The 18,076-nt window shown below is 46.6% G+C and overlaps 1 protein-coding gene across 9 annotated transcripts in view, besides 4 other annotated features; it reads right to left on the reverse strand.

The window, feature by feature from the left end:
- Positions 1-18,076, reverse strand: part of PACSIN2 (protein kinase C and casein kinase substrate in neurons 2) — a 145,384-nt gene that overhangs the window by 88,802 nt on the left and 38,506 nt on the right. For 2 of the 9 annotated variants that reach the window (NM_001184971.1, NM_001349972.1), the window contains exon 1: positions 1,232-1,314. The exons of 4 other annotated variants lie outside the window; for them this stretch is intronic. The gene's annotated coding sequence lies outside the window, so the exon portion shown is untranslated. Of the gene's footprint in view, positions 1-1,004; positions 1,333-1,594; positions 1,703-18,076 lie in introns of those variants that run through there. 3 more of the 9 variants (NM_001349968.1, NM_001349973.1, NM_001349970.2) reach the window with 3 other exon arrangements.
- Positions 1,136-1,430: an enhancer, noted in NCBI's record as "tiled region #1755; HepG2 Activating DNase unmatched - State 1:Tss, and K562 Activating DNase unmatched - State 1:Tss". NCBI's record gives its function as "activates a minimal TATA promoter and a strong SV40 promoter by Sharpr-MPRA in HepG2 and K562 cells {active_cell/tissue: HepG2 | K562}" and the evidence as "EXISTENCE:reporter gene assay evidence [ECO:0000049][PMID:27701403]".
- Positions 5,372-6,153: an enhancer, noted in NCBI's record as "H3K27ac-H3K4me1 hESC enhancer chr22:43359945-43360726 (GRCh37/hg19 assembly coordinates)". NCBI's record gives its function as "activates a minimal SCP1, AML or CMV promoter by ChIP-STARR-seq in primed H9 embryonic stem cells {active_cell/tissue: H9 hESC(primed)}" and the evidence as "EXISTENCE:reporter gene assay evidence [ECO:0000049][PMID:30033119]".
- Positions 6,154-6,933: an enhancer, noted in NCBI's record as "OCT4-NANOG-H3K27ac-H3K4me1 hESC enhancer chr22:43360727-43361506 (GRCh37/hg19 assembly coordinates)". NCBI's record gives its function as "activates a minimal SCP1, AML or CMV promoter by ChIP-STARR-seq in naive and primed H9 embryonic stem cells {active_cell/tissue: H9 hESC(naive and primed)}" and the evidence as "EXISTENCE:reporter gene assay evidence [ECO:0000049][PMID:30033119]".
- Positions 11,806-12,793: an enhancer, noted in NCBI's record as "H3K27ac-H3K4me1 hESC enhancer chr22:43366379-43367366 (GRCh37/hg19 assembly coordinates)". NCBI's record gives its function as "activates a minimal SCP1, AML or CMV promoter by ChIP-STARR-seq in naive H9 embryonic stem cells {active_cell/tissue: H9 hESC(naive)}" and the evidence as "EXISTENCE:reporter gene assay evidence [ECO:0000049][PMID:30033119]".

Below are 18,076 nucleotides of genomic sequence, written 5' to 3' on the forward strand. Positions count from 1 at the left end.
AAGGGATCTGAAGAAAGAGATATTCAGAGCTACAAGAGCAAAGACAAAACTGATGGGCCCGATTAAGGTCGGACAGACATACTATATACCTTGGGGGTTTCTAGAAACCTTTCCTATGCAATCTTAAAAGTATTTGAAACACACACTTCACAGTAGGTAACATCCTAACAAGAAAGCATGTTTTTCTGTGAGGCACAGGCTGCACCAGCACAGTATTTTCTGGAGGACGGAGAGAGGATGCTGCCTTTTTAATGGCAATCAGTAATCCAGTAAGTATAATTCACTGAGTGATGGGTCACTTAAGTATCAGGATTTTAAAAATCTAATTAGAATTACAGCACCACAGCAATAAAGGGGAGCCACTGTTTTTCAAAAATTCCAGAATATGACTTCTAAGAAACAATTGAATACGTACATAAGGCTGCTCAGTTATTAAAACAATAAGACTTTTACATTTTGTTACCCGACAAAAATATAAACAGTGTCTAGTGACAGCCCTCAGAGGGGGACGAGGGCACAGGGTCCAGCTGGGATGAGAAATGAGAAGAACTGAGGGGGAGGATGGGAAGGTGGTCGGGAGGGGTCCTGGAGCGGTGGCAGGTGATCAGAGACTCTGCAGTAAACAGTCATGAAACAGCAATTACAGTCTCCTGGAAAAGATAATTTGCTTTCTCTCTCAAGTCCCACTTATGTGTTTGTAGATTAGATTTGGCTGTAAAGAAAGAAAATGGCAGCATGTAATAAACATTAACGCCTTAAAGTAGGGGGAAAAGCCCTCTATTAACAGCTAACTCAAGTAACTCATTTAGCTACTCGGTAAGAAAAAAATACAGCTAAAGTATGTCAGCTACTCTAAAACATGCCAAAGCAAAGGTGCAAAGTTATTGCATCTATTTTGAAAGGAAACACGCACGTATGTTCTAAAACCAGAGTCAAAAATTACAAAACACAATCCTTCATTTGTTTAAGCCGAAATCTATTCTCCAAGAAAATCAAACACTTACTCTGACATCTTCTCCAAGCACCCTGGATAAAGCATTCTGCATTGCTCAGTTAATAATGAACTAATTGAACATTGCCGTCACGGAGCTCTAAAACTAGGTGCGCTTGCATAGAAGGTGAGAGTTCTGTTAAATCAGTCACTCAGTGAGAAAGAAAACAATTCCGTGAAAATTCTACTTTCAAAGAGGTCTACCTTAAAGGAAATGCAAGCCTTCCACAGCACACTCACATTTTTCTGTCAGATGCCGGCTAACTCTGCAGCTCAGCTTCCGTACCTGCCTCTTTCCAACCCTGCTGGCATGTCTGACCTCTGTCTCTCAGCTGAATTCTCCCAGCACATTTCATCATTTCCTGTTGGCTGCCGAGATAAGGTCATTCCCATACACTGCTGCATTCGCTGTACAGTCCCAGGTTCCCAGACTGCACGCTCCTGCCTGCTGTGGCCATCACAGAAGAGCTCTCTTTTCAGAAAGTGGCCAAAGAGAAATTTCAGTATTTCCACGGAAAATCAGGGAGAAGAGGTCTGAGAACAAAATTCATACTACCCCCTCCCCAACACACAAAAAATCAAATTATATACAAACTAACTTACACCATACATGAGTCTTCTAATATCTTCTTGTATTTGGGATCCTCCTGCTTACAAGAGAAAAAAGACAGCATGCTCTCTCTGCATCTGAGGGGCGTCACAGCAGTCAGTGGGACAGGGACTTGCTTGCACAGGATAATCTTACACTGTCCCTACATGTGGAAGTCAACTTCCTTCTGTGACTACACACAACAAGGCAATGCCTGTCAGCAGATGAACAGGAAGCCTCATGCAGGAGACAGGACTGGGGACACAGAGTCCCCTGGAGACAGGCAGGTGACCCCATGGTCTCTCAGCAGCACGACTGTCTCCTAAGAACTAGGACACTCAAATACGCAACTGTGATTACATGGAAATAAAAACACCTCGCTTCTTCAATTTTTACAAAGAATTTAAAGTGAAGAAAAAAACAATAAAGCTTTAGGTGAGGAGAGAAAGATTTTAAAATGCTTGTGCCTACAAGAATACATGCTGTACGATTCCCTTTGGATCCAGCACAAGAAAAGGCGTAACTAATCTACACCCTTCGAAGCCGGGACAGGGAAGAGAAAGAGGAGGCAGGCAGGAAGGGGTGCCAGGAGGGTTTTGGAGCTGTGCTGTGGCTCTTAAACTGGCTATGGGTGTGCTGGGCTTGTGAAAATTCACTGATATGTACACTTGAGATCTGTGCACTTTAGGTATGCATATTATTCAATAACACTTTTTAAAATCTCATACAGTAACAAAAAATACAGACACTACAGGAAAGAGTAGATATGGAAACCAACCTGCAAAAACAGACAGGAAACAAATATTTCAAGGGATCAATTTCTGCTAGGTGCCCTCCTAGAAGATACACATGCACACTCCCCCATTCCCCTTGGCAAGCCAGGATCTAAGTGGTAATGGCCAGGGCAGGGCCAGTTCAGGGCGGTTCCTCCTTTCAACATGGCCCAAGCGGGTGTATGTAGGGATGGGAAAATACGTAATTGGCAAAAGAACATACTGCAAGGGGAAACTGTGCTAAGTGGATATACACTATTTACCAGTGTTCTTGCTACTCATATTCATTCAAAAATGTTCAGTTAAAAACAGCCATCTAGTCTTACCTTATAACACAAAACGAAGTAGGTTAAAAATCTCTTTTGAAAATCTTGTGTTTAGACAAACACTGCGGAAGGCCGCAGGGTCCTCTGCCTAGGAAAACCAGAGACCTTTGTTCACTTGTTTATCTGTTGACCTTCCCTCCACTATTGTCCTATGACCCTGCCAAATCCCCCTCTGTGAGAAACACCCAAGAATGATCAATTAAAAAAAAAAAAAAAAAAAAATCTTGTGTTTAGAAATTCCTTAGGCTGGGCCGGTGGCTCACACTTGTAGTCCCAGCACTTTGGTAGGCTGAGGCAAATGGATTGCTTGAAGCCAGGAGTTTGAGACCAGCCTAGCCAATATGGTGAAACCTCATCTCTACTAAAAAATACAAAAATTGGCCAGGTGTAGTGGCACATGCCTGTAATCCCAGCTACTCAGGAGGCTGAGGCACGAGAATCGCTTGACCCCAGGGAGCAGAGGTTGCAGTGAGCTGAGATCACGTCACTGCACTCTAGCCTGGGTGACAGAGCGAGATCCTGTCTCAAAAAAAAGAGAAAAAGAAATTCCTTAATGGAAAAATACCAATAAAAGCAAAGACCACATAACATGAGACTCTATTACTTGACATATGATAATAATTTACACTACTTGAGAAATTATTTACCACCCCTCCCCACACAGCCCGTCACCAAAAAAGCAGAGAAGTCAACACATATTTCACTATATCCTGTGGTTGGCTTAGTTAAATCCACGGCACCATCACAGAAGATGAACACCAGAGTGCCACGCCCGCCACAGCTGGCAAGCACTCACTCCACTAAGACAGAAGCAGCGCCTGAGTTCTGGGGAAGCAAGTTTGAGACCAGCCTGGCCAACATGGTGAAACCCCGTCTGTACTAAAAAATACAAAAATTGTCTACCTGTTCCCTCCCCCAAGCCAGGATACCAGAAAACTTTTTTTTTTTTTGTCCCAGAGCCCCACTTAGGGCTGCTGGTTATGGGAGGGCTTTTTGTTTAAAAGACTCACTCTCTTCTTTTAAATCCAACAAACACAGGCTGCTCAATAAACATTTACACAGCACTTACTTTATTTCTGGCTAATCATGAAAATAGCTCTTTGGGGGTAAGCATTGTTATCTTCATTTCCCAGATGAGAGGTTATGCAACTTGCTAAGTGTCCCACAGCTGGCGCAAGGAGAGCCAGCCTGTAAGCCAGGCTACACAACACTGCCCCTCCAACTTGACTTCCCTCAACGGTCAGAACTGGGTCTTGGATAGTTTCTGCTTAATAAAAAGCTGAACTTGGAAAAGGAGAAGAGGCCCAAGGCAGAACTGGGGGTGGGGGGTGGAGGGTGAGGTCTGGGGTAGGGGGTGAGGGCCACATCCAGCACAGGGCAAGGGAAGGCCAGCCCAGCAGCCATTCACAGTCCAAGTCACAGGGCCACCCTCACATGCCCTCAGGCAAAGTGCAGCCTGGATGCCTGGGGTGGGTGGAGGCATTGTGAGTCCTGCCCCAAGTACCCAGTCACAAGAGCAAGGTGTGGGCGGGGGGGGGGGGCGGCGCAGAAAAAGAAAACTGACTTTGAACTGAATAGTAGTGGGACTAGGAAGTCATCAGACCAGATCTCCAGTGTGGCTAAAGACACCCTCTCCCTGCCCATGTCAGCCACATCTCACTAGTGGATTCCAGGCAGGAAACGTGGACTATGGCAGAAGACAAGACTGACTCAGGCAGCTCTCCTGTCCCTGGCAGTGATACAGCTGCCCGACCACTCTTTAGGTGATGCTGGGACAGAAACCGCTCAGGGAAGCTCACCTGCTGGCCTCTGGCATGCAGAGCCTAAGCTGGAATTCCAGTTCTGATCTGGCTTCTGTCATCAAAGACTGGAAACCATTGGACATTCATTCAACAAACATTAATGCCAGGCACAGTGCTTAGGGTCCCACAGTCAAAGCAGCCAAGGTCCCTGCCCCGGCCCACAATGTACAGGCTGAGCAGAAGTGCAAATAAATAAAATGAGGGACATCTCGTGCTGGTTCTCCAAGAGTGTGCAACCAGCCTACTCAAACCATGTGGATTAAGGCGGAAGAAAATTCAGAAACAGAGAGTCCACCAAGTTAACTAAAGACCAGCAGCGCCACCCATCAGCTCAGGCCCCCTGCAGAGGCGGCAAACAACACGCAGGGCAGCACTTCCCAGGGGGATTCTTTCGCCCAGCGGTCAGTGCAGCTCCAGCAGGCCAGTTCATCAGCCTAGCAGGACTCAAAGACAGGACAGGATCCAGCAAGGCTGCTGCTTCTATCTGAGGCCTTTTGTTATATGATTGTCGCATGGTAAAAATGACTGCTTGTACCACGTTTACCACGCTCATTTGAAACACTATAAGATAGGTACTCCTAGCCCTGTTTTACAGGGAAGGAAACCACCACAGAACATAAGCAATCTGCCCAAGGTCACCCAGCTAATAAGGGCAGAATGGGATTCAGTCAGGTCCACTTGATACAAAGTCCCTCCTCTCTCTACCACACCCGTGCCTCCCATGGAACGGGACCTGCTATGAAAATCAAGATATTTGGCAAAAGGTCGTGTCATTTGGAAACAATAAAATTTCTACAATTTTTTTTTCACCACTTCTCTACTGGTCTGTCATCGCTCTAATACTATACTGCCTTAAAAAAAAAACAGCTTTATTGAGATATAATTCACGTCACACAGTTCACCCATTTAAAGGGCACAATTCAATGTTATTTAGTATATTCACAGGTGTGTGCAACCATCACCACCGTCAAGGGTAGGACATTTTCATTACCTCAAAGAGAAACCCTGTACCCTTTAGCTATCATCCCTCTATTCCCAACCCTTTCCCCAGCCCGCGGCAGTCATTGTGTTTTACAAGGTGATTCTTGGCTGGGCACGGTGGCCCATGCCTGTAATCCCAGTACTTTGTGGGGCCAAGGTGCGCAGATCACTTGAGGTCAGGAGTTGGAGACCAGCCTGGCCAACATAGTGAAACCCTGTCTCCACTAAAAGTACAAAAATTAGCTGGGCATGGTGGCACATGCCTGTAATCTCAGCTACTCGAGAGGCTGAGGCAGGAGAATTGCTTGAACCCAGGAGGTGGAGGTTGCAGTGAGCCAAGATCGTGCCATTACACTCCAGCCTGGGCGACAGAGCGAGACTCCGTCTGGAAAAAAAAAAAAAAAAGGTGATTCTTAAAGTGATCATGGGCACACAATAATTGGGTTGTTAATAGAATACCACAGATTGCAGTTCTGCGCTCGCCTCAGTCTTTCCCTAGCAGGCTAAAACTAACAGCTGAGCCAGGACAGGGCAAGGGCAAGGCAGGAGACCTGAGTGGCAGGTGGCTGGCATAGGAGGTGGGGTACCTGGCAGCCTGGCACAGGGCAGGCTCTACAGTTCCTATGTACCTGGGTCCCTGAACTTTGCATGCCCCAAACACAGAGCCAGGTGATCCATCGGCAGCAGGGACGACAAAGTTAGACAAAAGACCAAAAGGAGCTGCTCTGACCACAAGCCTTTTCCATTAGGAATTTGTAACTCCCCATCTCCAGAAAGGCAAACACCGAGATCCTACAGGCTGGCCCAAGCCAGGGGTAACTAGAATAGTGTTGTTCTGAGAAGCCAAACTAGTCAAGGACTAGCAAGACCCATGGCTTGGATAAAAAGAAGATTCCCCCAAATCTGGTTCATTTATTTGCTAGTTCCCTCTGCCTTCCTCATATGCTGCTGAAAGATGGGGAGGGCATGCACACACTCCTGTAGCACCTAGGTTTGTCACACATCTCTATAGAGGACATCAAAACCCAACTGTGTGTGGCATCGGCGCACAGCTGAAAACCACTCGGCAATAAAAAGGAATGAGCTACTGACAGATGTGACATGGATCAATCACAAAAACATCATGCTGAGCAAAGCAGCCAGATGCAAAATAGCACCCACTGTGTGTGTCTATGTGGATGAAATTCGAAACCAAGCAAAACCAATCTACAGTGACAGATTAATGTTTGCCAGGGCCAGGGGGCAGGGTGGGGGACTGACTTCAAAGGGACACAAGGAAATTTTGGAGCAATGGAAATATTCTGTCTTGACTGAGTCATACAGGTGTTTCCACTTGTCAAAGCTCCTAAAAGGATGCATTCAATTGTATGTAAACTAATACCTCAATAAAGAGGAAGAAGGCGGGAGAAGGAGGGGAAAAGAAGGTGAGAAAACAGGAGAAAAGGAAGAAAAGCCCCCAGCAGAAGTCTAGTAACAGAGCTTCCTTCCTACCCAGCGTCTGCATCTGCAATACAGTGGTGACTGACATTAACCAAGAACCACAAAGTGCCTCAGATTCAAAAGATTAAAGTAAGTTCTGTGTCATTTTAGCCCAAGTGTATTTCTTGGGCCTCAATTCTTGGAATAACTGATCCTCTACCAATGACTTTGGTAGAGGATCCAAATGGTCCACTTTCTAACCAGGCTAGCTTGGGTTCTTCCCACTAGCACCGCGATGAAAGGCATGACAATGACAGTTCAGTGACCTGGAAGTGGCAGGTGTCAGCAATAGGTTTCAATGGCTGCTAGACAGTAAACCAGTAAAATTTAATATGATAATTTAAGGCATTAGTTTCTCTCTTCAAATAAGTAAATCTTAAATTCTAGAAACCTACTATAATCATAAATAAATAAATAATCATAAATAAATAAATAATCATAAATAAATTATGTGAAAATGTGATAGGTCAATCTTTTTCATATTTTTCTTTTGGCTGAGAACAGGGTAGTGGCTATTTGCAAATCCTACTTGTTAGCCTTTCATATGTTTCATGAACCAAGATGTAAATAGAGCCATCTTGGGCTGGGCGCGGTGGCTCACGCCTGTAATCCCAGCACTTTGGGAGGCTGAGGCAGGCGGATCACGAGGTCAAGAGATCGAGACCATCTTGGCCAAAATGGTGAAACCCCGTCTCTTTGAAAAATACAAAAATTAGCAGGGTGTGGTGGTGTGCACCTGTAGTCCCAGCTACTTGGGAGGCTGAGGCAGGAGAATTGCTTGAACCTGGGAGGCGGAGGTTGCAATGAGATCGTGCCCCTGCACTCCGGCCTGGCGACAGAGTGAGACTGCATCTAAAAAAAAAAAAAAGCCACTTGTCTTTACTCATCCAACACGTGTACATAAAAAGGAATAAACCAAGCCAAATGTCTAACATTCTCTATCAAAGAAGAAGGTCCCAGGACAAAGCAAAGCTAAGTATCAGTTCTATCTTTGGCAAAGGAGAAAATGTTAAAACCCTTTACATAAGCTTCTTTGCTTCTCTGGCACTTGTCCAAAGATTTTTTTAACAGTGAAGTGAGACTAATTAATGGAGACAGCCCAATTGAGGAAAAACTTGAAAGCACCAATGTGATAGAGGGAACATGTTAATTTTTTTCTTATGCATTTTATAGAATCCCCAAATGCCACAGAAGAAGCAACATCTAGATTTCTAGCACATCTCAGTTAAGATGTCACGCAGCCTCATGGTCCTGGCAACAGCTTGAGCCTTCTCTGGGCAACACATTAAAAATGGAAGATGATCCAAGAAAGATCTGAAATTCAAAAGGAATGTGAGCAAGGTTCCTGGTGAGTCTGTGGGTATTTTCAGGAATAAAGTCAGGGGCATGTTATGTTAATGTTTTATCGGTGTGATTTTTTTCCCCTCATTTATTTATAGTTTAATTCAGCCATCTGACAAATATTTTTCAGCACTGTCCAGGCTCTGGAAGTTACAAACTAAATAATTAACTTAAACGAACTTGTCCGTAAGCAGCTTCAAGTCTGGTAGGGTAGACGGACGAGTACCCAGAGGACCATGCAGGGTGACAGGTGCTCCGTAACAGAAACTAGGCAGGGAATGTGGAAGGTGGGGCTGGGACAGGGGGCCAGGAAGAGATGTGAGAAGATGCCCAGGAAGGCTGGACTCTGAGCTGAATCACGTAAACAAGGGCCGTGTCCTGCTGCACCTCTGGCTGTGGCCTCCCCTCTTTGGCTGGGGCTTCCTCCTCCCTCAAAGGAGAGCAGGGACCAGATAGAAGATCCCAATGTTACTGATCAGGGCTTTTTCCTGAGGGCAGGAAAGGCAGCCAACACAAGGCCGCCAACTTTATTTTGCCCCCTAAGGACATTTAAAAAAGAAAAAGACCTATCACTCCCATTATTTCATTTCAGACATTTTAACACCAAAAGACAGGTAATACAACCCCAGAATCAATGAAAAGCCTTAAACTAAAGATCTTTAACTTTGTAACAGAATAATTATACTGTTGGTGTTTCATCGTCTAGCATGATAGTGAAACTGGCATTGTGAGTTGGTGTTTAGAAACCCTGCAAATGGGCCGGGCGCGGTGGCTCACGCCTGTAATCCCAGCACTTTGGGAGGCCGAGGCGGGCGGATCACGAGGTCAGGAGATCAAGACCATCCTGGCTAACATGGTGAAACCCCATCTCTACTAAAAATACAAAAAATTAGCCGGGCGTGGGGGTGGGCGCCTGTAGTCCCAGCTACTTGGGAGGCTGAGGCAGGAGAATGGCATGAACCCGGGAGGCAGAGTTTGCAGTGAGCCGAGATCACGCCACTGCACTCCAGCCTGGGCCGCAGAGCGAGACTCCATCTCAAAAATAAAAAGAAATCCTGCAAATGGATGATCAAATTAGGTACTTTACTGAGTGCATATTTTATGACATTTTATACACGCTCCTCAGATCTTTATATACAATGATATACTCAGGATATACACTCATGATAACCTTGCAAGGTGGGAGTACTGCGCCAGTTTTCAGATGAGAAAACTACAGGTTTGGGGAAGTGGCTTGCCCACAGTTGCACAGCAATGGTAGCGCGGGAAGCTGCAACCCTGGCTCCCTCTGACGGCCGAGTGTGTCCTGGACCTCCACAAACAGCGTGACACTGCAAGACAGCTGTGGGTGATTGCAACGGCTCCTCCCAGAACTAAACATCTGTTTCACTGTTGTTGTTTTGGGGAAGGCAAAGGAAGAGTTCAAGTCTGCCACCTTTTTTTTCATAGTCCCTAATAACCAACTCAAACCCTTAGTGAAACCAGGAAGGGTATAAATATGTAAGAAAATGAAATCGTGGTGCCAAGCATTCCAGGACGCTACCATTATCTTCTCCCTTCTCCTTCTATATTTTGGATCAGTGCTGGGGAAAAAGAAAATGGGCAAGATGGGAAAAGAAATAGGTAGCATTTGAACCCTTATTCGAGATTTTCAATACTTGGCATGTGTCATGGTTAGTTTTAGAGTTTTAGGTGTCAACTTGACTGGAACACCTAGGAAAACCTAGAAACCTAGTAAAGCCTGATTTTGGGGTGTGTCCATGGGGCTGTTTCCAGAAGAGACTAGCACATTAGTGTGAGTGGATGAGGTGGGGAAGAGCCACCATCAATAAGGGCAGGCACCATCCAATCTGCCGGGGGCCTAAAAAGAACAAAAACAGGAAAAGGGCAAATGTGTCTATCAATGTCCTGGAGCTGGGATGCACTCACCTCCTGCCTTGGGCCACGGAACCCCAAGCTTGCCAGCCTTTGGACTCCTGGACTTATACCAGCGGCCCCTGGGTTCTTAGGCCTTCAGCACTGGACTGAGAGCTACATGACTGGCTTCTCTAGTTCTGGGGCCCTCAAATGTGGACTGAGCCCCACTACCGGCATCCCAGAGTCTCCAGCTTGCAGGCAGCCTGTCATAGAATTTCTCAGACTCTACAACCATGTGAGCCAATTCCCCTAATAAACTGCTTCTTATCTATCTATCTCCATCCATCCATCCATCCATCCATCCACCCTATTGGCTCTGACTAATACAGCCACGTAGTAAGTATACATCTAAAGCCTCTAGGCAAGTGTTACATAAATACAACTTAAAAGACATGGTCACTAACTTCTAAAAGCTTCCATTCTCAGTTTGAAATATGGAGATAATTATAAATAGAATACCAACTATAAACTTAAAAGTGTATCTCATTTTACAAATTTCTTTTCAACAAATGATCATGACATTACATGGTAAACTTTCTTTGTATTCTATAAATGTATTCCAACTAATCTGTAACCTCATTTCAATTGGAATTCTTTTCTGATGGCACACCAGTGATTTTTCTCCCTGAAAGATGTTAAGGAATATTATTATTACCCTGTTATTAGCAGTACCACTTAACACTGGTTTAGATGCAAGTTTTTCTTCTTATGGAGGCCTTGGGGAAGAACCAAATACATTTAAGATGAGTAATCCTCCCACCTCAATAACTCTGGCAACGATGACCATTGTAACACCGGCATTATCCAAGCAATATGGGATTGATTATCGCTGTAGATTGGAAATAGTTTTCCCTTCTCCTACGTAGTTTCTACGTAGAAAGTAGAAACTAGGTCAGGCACAGTGGTTCATGCCTGTAATTCCAGCACTCTGAGAGGCCGAGGCATGATGATCGCTCGAGTCCACGTGTTCGAGACCAGCCTGGGCAACATGGAAAGAACCCATCTCTACGAAAAATTTTTAAGCTGGGCTTGATAGTGCACAGCTGTGGTCCCAGCTACTCAGGAGGGTGAGGCTGCAATGAATCATGATCCCACCACTGCACTCTAGCCTGAGTGACAGGGTGAGATGCTGGCCCTTAAAAAAAAAAAGAAAAAGAAAAAAAAAAGAAAAGAAACTAGAATGACCCCCCGTTTCAACAAGTATCAACACATGGCCAATCCTGTTTCACCTGTGATGTGAAAACTGTAGAATGCTCACAAAATCACAGAACCCAAATGCATCTCCACCTGACCTGGCATGCCCCCTTCGACACTGGCACCACAGCCCAAGTCCTCACGCTGGGAAGAGGCACAAAGCAAGCAGAGCAGGGTCCTGGCCTGAAGGGATCAGCAATCTTTTGGGGAACCAGTGCCACCTGAATCACATTTAAAAAGGAGAACGACTAAAGTAAACCCGCAAGGTTAACATCACGGTGGTGAGTCATGGCAGTATCAGGTGCCTCCTGAGATGATGTAATGAAAAGGGCACTTCACCTCTGTGGGACTCTCCCCAAATTCATCCACCAATCTAATACTAGGAAAAATCATCAAGGACCTGGATGGGATCCTAGAACTGCAAGAAAACATCAGTGGGAAAACTGGTGAAATCCAAAGAAAGTCCATAGTTTATTCAGTAATACTGCATCAATGTTAATTTCTTAATTTCAAAAAATAAGCTATGGTTACATAAAATGTTAACATTAGAGAAAGTCAGGCAAAAGGTAGACAGGAACTCTATTAGTTTTGCAACTTTTCTGCACATATAGAATTCTTGTAAAATAAAAAGTTTATTATAGAAATAATAATACAAAAGTTTAACGAACATTCATTACGTCCTTTGCAAAAAGGAGTCAGGGACAATGTGGTCTTCTTTTTAAAATTTAGCCAAGGAAGATGAAGCCTAAAGAAATCAAATGATTTGTTAAAATCTTTAAGTAAGCAAGCACCTGGAAAGGAAGGCAGGGCCCCGTGTAAGCTGATGTCACCCGAGGTGCTCCATGGCAGTGCACCACCAGATATGGAGTGCTTGTGGTAACAAGCAGTGCTGACCATGAGATGGGAGGCTGGCCTGCAGCGCCTCCCCACGCCACCCACAGCTGTGCGGTCAGACAGCGACCCAGGCTCCCTGCACCACCCTGCCCTGCCCCCAGCCTCTCCACAGCCCTCTCTGCTACAGCCTACCCCTGCACCACCTCTCACCACTCAGCAGTTTCTGAGGGTCTGCAGGCTAACGCTAAGCTAAAAACAATGAAAGGAGGTGGCATTACAAACCACCATGATAAAAATATTCTCCCTCTCCCTCTCCCTCCACGGTCTCCCTCTGATGCCGAGCCAAAGCTGGACTGTACTGCCGCCATCTCGGCTCACTGCAGCCTCCCTGCCTGATTCTCCTGCCTCAGCCTGCCAAGCGCCTGGGATTGCAGGCGCGCGCCGCCACGCCTGACTGGTTTTTGTATTTTTTGGTGGAGACGGGGTTTCGCCGTGTTGGCCGGGCTGGTCTCCAGCTCCCGACCGCAAGTGATCTGCCCGCCTCAGCCTCCCGAGGTGCCAGGACTGCAGACGGAGTCTCGCTCACTCAGTGCTCTATGTTGCCCAGGCTGGAGTGCAGTGGCGTGATCTCGGCTCGCTACAACCCCCACCTCCCAGCCGCCTGCCTTGGCCTCCCAAAGTGCCAAGAGTGCAGCCTCTGCCCGGCCGCCACCCCATCTGGGAAGTGAGGAGCGTCTCTGCCTGGCAGCCCATCGTCTGGGATGTGAGGAGCCCCTCTGCCCGGCCACCCAGTCTGGGAAGTGAGGAGTGTCTCTGCCCAACCGCCACCATGTCTGGGAAGTGAGGAGCGTCTCTGCCCGGCCGCCCATCGTCTGAGAAGTGAGGAGCCCCTCCGCCGGGCAGCCGCCCTGTCTGGGAAGTGAGGAGCATCTCTGTCCGGCAGCCGCCCCGTCCGGGAGGTGGGGGGTAGCCCCCGCCCGGCCAGCCGCCCCATCCGGGAGGGAGGTGGGGGGCAGCCCCCGCCCGGCCAGCAGCCCCGTCCGGGAGGGAGGTGGGGGGCAGCCCCCGCCCAGCCAGCAGCCCCGTTCGGGAGGTGGGGGGCAGCCTCCACCCGGCCGCCGCCCCGTCTGGAAGGTGGGGGGTGCCTCTGCCCGGCCGCCCCGTCTGGGAGGTGAGGAGCCCCTCTGCCCGGCCGCCACCCCGTCTGGGAGGTGTACCCAGCAGCTCATTGAGAACGGGCCATGATGACAATGGCGGTTTTGTCCAATGGGGGGGGGAAATGTGGGGAAAAGAAAGAGAAGTCGGATTGTTACTGTGTCTGTGTGGAAAGAAGTAGACATAGGAGACTCCATTTTGTTCTGTGCTAGGAAAGATTCTTCTGCCTTGGGACGCTGTTGATCTATGGCCTTGCCCCCAATCCCGTGCTCTCTGAAACATGTGCTGTGTCCACTCAGGGTTAAATGGATTAAGGGCGGTGCACGATGTGCTTTGTTAAACAGATGCTTGAAGGCAGCATGCTCTTTAAGAGTCATCACCACTCCCTAAGCTCCAGTACCCAGGGACATAAACATTGCGGAAGGCCGCAGGGTCCTCTGCCTAGGAAAACCAGAGACCCTTGTTCACATGTTTATCTGCTGACCTTCCCTCCACTATTGTCCTATGACCCTGCCAAATCCCCCTCTCCGAGAAACACCCAAGAATCATCAATAAATACTAAATATATATATATATATTTTAAACCACCACCATTTTAGAAAAATAGTTCCTTATACATCTAGGAAAAAAAGATATGATCAGAACTGTGCACTAGGAAACCTGAAGTTGTAGCTCTGCACCAGGATGGGCCCAAAGTGGCCAAAGGAGAATTCCACCTCTGGGCTTTCCGACCTGGACACCACGCCAGGAAGCACACAGTCTACTGCCTCACTCTAAGAAAAGTCAGCCATGCTTTTACTTTTTTTTTTCTTATGTTGCCCAGGCTGGACTTCAACTCCTGGGCTGAAGCCATGTTCCCGCCTCAGCCTCCTGTGTACCTGGATTACAGATGCATGCCACTGCACCCAGCTCAACCGTGCTTTTAAATGGCTTTGAATGTGCTTCTTTATAACAGCATCTTCCTACATTTCAGACAGGACAAAATTCTAGAAATAAAAGCACACACCTGGATTTTCTAATTACGAACAGCATGTGAGGATTGTTCATTGTGAACCAGATTTATCATGACTTTTATGGCTGGGGTCAATACGGAAGTAAGAACTTTGACAGGGCAGTCATATATCTGCCCACATACTGCAGCAAACACATCTGGGACATGACCGTCAGCTCAAACAAGAATATCAGTGAAATATTCCTATCCAAAATGCCCTGCAACAAATTACTGAAAGATAAGGAGAGAAAGCGAGAAGTGGTGTTTTTAAAACAATCTTTAAAAAGAAAAAAGGCAGAAGACACTGTAAAAAGTATTTCCAGAACAGAAGGTTCAAAATGACAGACTCTGTCACAGGTCTCGCCCACAAGGCAATCCCTCCTGAGCAACTTCATTATTTCCACTTGCTCAGGAATTGACGAGCAAAACACAGGTCAAAACTTCCCCAGTGCTCTGAATTATGCAACTGGGAATCTGTACCACACTGTTTTTTGTCAACAAGGCTCCACTGAAGCTTCCTCCTTTAACTTCTCATTGAGAAAAAGACTCCAGATGCTTTCCCCATTCATTTTTCAAATGTTTCATTCAATCAGAAACTCTACATATACACTTTGGAATTTACACATTTGATAGCTGCAAAGCTCGCAAGCAAGCTCTCCAGCCAACATGCCTGCCTGTCTCCGCCCAGGTGTGGCAAGCCCCACACTTGTGCCACGCATGGCCCCCTGCCCCATAAACCCAGACTGGGTTGGCTGCTCTCCCCTGTAACTGACACAGAAACAGGCCTGCTACACTCCAGTCTTAGGCCTGGGCCCATCCTCCACTCCCGTCTCCATCATCCCTCATTGCCCTTGTTTCCTTGGCACCTAGCACAGGGCTTAGGGTCTAGGGGCACAGCATATGCTAAAAGAGGAAAAGAGAAAAGCCCACGAGAGAAATGGCAGCCTCATCCTTGGGGACACATAGCTCAGGTGTGGATGCCAAGTACCAAGAACAGAAGCGTAGCCTTAACTTGTAGCCTGATACAAATGCCAGCTCACAGCCCACGAGCTGTGGAATCGCAATTCAATTTACCTCAGAGCCTCTGTTTCCTCACCTGTATAAAAAGGACCAGCATCTCCCACCTCACATGTTACCAAGTGGATTACATGAGATAAAGCACCTGGCCTGGTGCCTGGCAGCTCACTGTTGTCCTGAAATCTATGTAAGTCTCCTTCCCTCCGTATCCCTATGTCGACTCTGCTTCCGGTTATCCGCCATCCAGTGTACCATGACTAGGTACAATGAAAAACAAAAGCCAGTTCCACCAAGGGCCTGGCGCCTGAACCGTCTACCCAAGGCCCTTTCCCATGAGCACCAAATAGCAGGTGCCATACCCAGAGCATTCACCTGTTAATTAGATATGATCTACTTCTAAACAGTAGGGAAGGATGCCAGCTCCCCTTTGCCAATGATTTCCATTCCCTCAATGCTCCTGGTCTAAGCCACGCCTAACTCCTCCCCACTGGAGAACAGTAGAGGAGAGTGCTCTTCCTGGTGAGTAGGGGCAGAAGTACCACATACAGGCTTCTTGTCTGGGTAGAGGCCATCCATTAAAAGATCATAAGCACCAGCCATGGCCAACATGGTGAAACCCTGCCTCTATTAAAAATACAAAAATTAGCTGGGCATGGTGGTGTGTGCCTGTAATCCCAGCTACTCGGGTGGCTGAGGCACCGTAACTGCTTAAACCTGGGAGGTGGAGGTTGCAGTGAGTTGAGATTGTGCCACTGCACTCCAGCCTGGGCAACACAGTGAGATCTTGTCTCAAAAAAAAAAAAAAAAAGAAAAGAAAAGAGAAGAAGGAGGAGGAGGAGGAGGAGAGGAAGAAAAGAGAAAGAAGAAGAAGAAGAGGAGGAGGAGGACGAGGAGAAGGAACAACAACAACAACATAAGCTTTGGGAATTAGTCCTCTTTTCCTTTCCTCTCCACCCCAGATTGATGCAAGGCAGCCAGCTGGAGCAAGGATATCTCCTCTGCAGACCCAGCTGACCTTTGAGTAGACTGTGCCAGGGCCTAGAATGTGGGTCAGGGAGAGTCAGCAAGCCCACCTGCCTGCACTGCAGATGAGCTCTAGTCCACCACTTCTACTACATTGTAACAAGGGTGGCATTTTGGTCTTGTTCTGACACTCACATCACCCTCTCTAAGGTCCAATCTGTATCAGTTTAACCTACTGACTCCCTTAAATCCAATGCCAATACTCAGTTATTAGCATGGAGGACGCTCCCACCATATTCACCACAAGTTTTAGTACTTTCACAGGATACAGAAATCCATTAGAGAAAGTCCCCATTCTTGTGGTTTACTCATAAGACAAATAAAACTAAAATATATCTATTAAAAGGTAGAAAGGGGGCTGGGCATGGTGGCTCATGCCTATAATCCCAGCACTTTGGGAGGCTGAGGCAGGAGAATTGCTCGAGCTCAGGAGTTCGGGCAAGACCCTGTCTCTACAAAAATAAAAAATATATACAAATATATATATATATAGCATGCACACAATGAAAAATTATCCAGCTGTAAAAATGAATGAAAAATGAAATTTGCAGATTACTTATGAGTCTCTTTTTATAAAATTCATAAACAAAAATAGAATATATTATTTACAGATACATGTGTATAAGTATTCTTTTTTTTTTCCCTTTTTCTAACCAGAGCCTTGTCAATATTCTTTAAAAAAAAAAAAAAGGTGCAGGAATGATGAACTATTCTAGAATGCCTTTACCCCCTGGCAGGGAGCACCCACTAGGAGTTTCCCTGTGGTGCACAGTGGTTTAGTTCTCCAGCTAGGAGGTTGGCTCCCAGGCATTTATTAGTATGTTCCAAAACTTATATATCCATCACCTCTTATTTTACATGAATTTTAAGTTATCTAAGAAAACATTTCTAAACTAGGGGTAGATGAGAGAAATGCTGTAAGACAGACACAAGAAAAAGACCCACTGATAGATGTTCAACAAATACCAGGCCAAAAGCGGGCCAATGCTGAGACACCCTGGCCCCCATGGCTTTCCAGGCCAGTCTGGAAGGTCCAATCTGAGCTGAAACCCTACAGAGTTCACAGCATTGAGGCCTTCCCCTCCTCTGTCATTTGGAGAACATTCATCATCTTATTTTGCATGTAGGAGAGGAAAAGGGGGCTAGAAACTATGCCTGTGCTAATTCTTCACCTAGAGGGAGTACAGAACCTTGGCACCTGCCAGGCTAACCCACCCACTGCTGACCCTCCTCACTCTAAATGTCACAGGTAGTTCTCAAAATGCCTCCAGGCTTATCACTTTAACGATCCTCTTCCCAGCCCAACCCCAGGAATTCCTGGTTCCTATAGAGCAAGGCCAGAAGCTACACCCTGGTGAAAGGCCACTGGCAAGCGCAGGCCTTAATGCACACTTGCTCCAGACAGAGCAGAGGCAACACTGGCCAGCCCAGGCGACAGACTGGCTCCTCTCCCCAAAAGCCTGACAAGTCCACAGGATCATCGATTTGAGGCAACAGTGCTAAATGCAGGCCTCCCTGTCATGCCTGGAGTGTCACAGAATGGCCACTTAACAGGCTTGCTGCTGGGTGTTGGCACCTATTTCTGTATTTATGTAGATTCTATGACTGTTTTAGATTTTCATTAAGATTAGCGGCAGAATTGTATTACATGCCTTTTAAATAT

This window comes from Homo sapiens, chromosome 22 (genome assembly GCF_000001405.40).
Source record: "Homo sapiens chromosome 22, GRCh38.p14 Primary Assembly".
Classification (NCBI taxonomy): domain Eukaryota; kingdom Metazoa; phylum Chordata; class Mammalia; order Primates; family Hominidae; genus Homo; species Homo sapiens.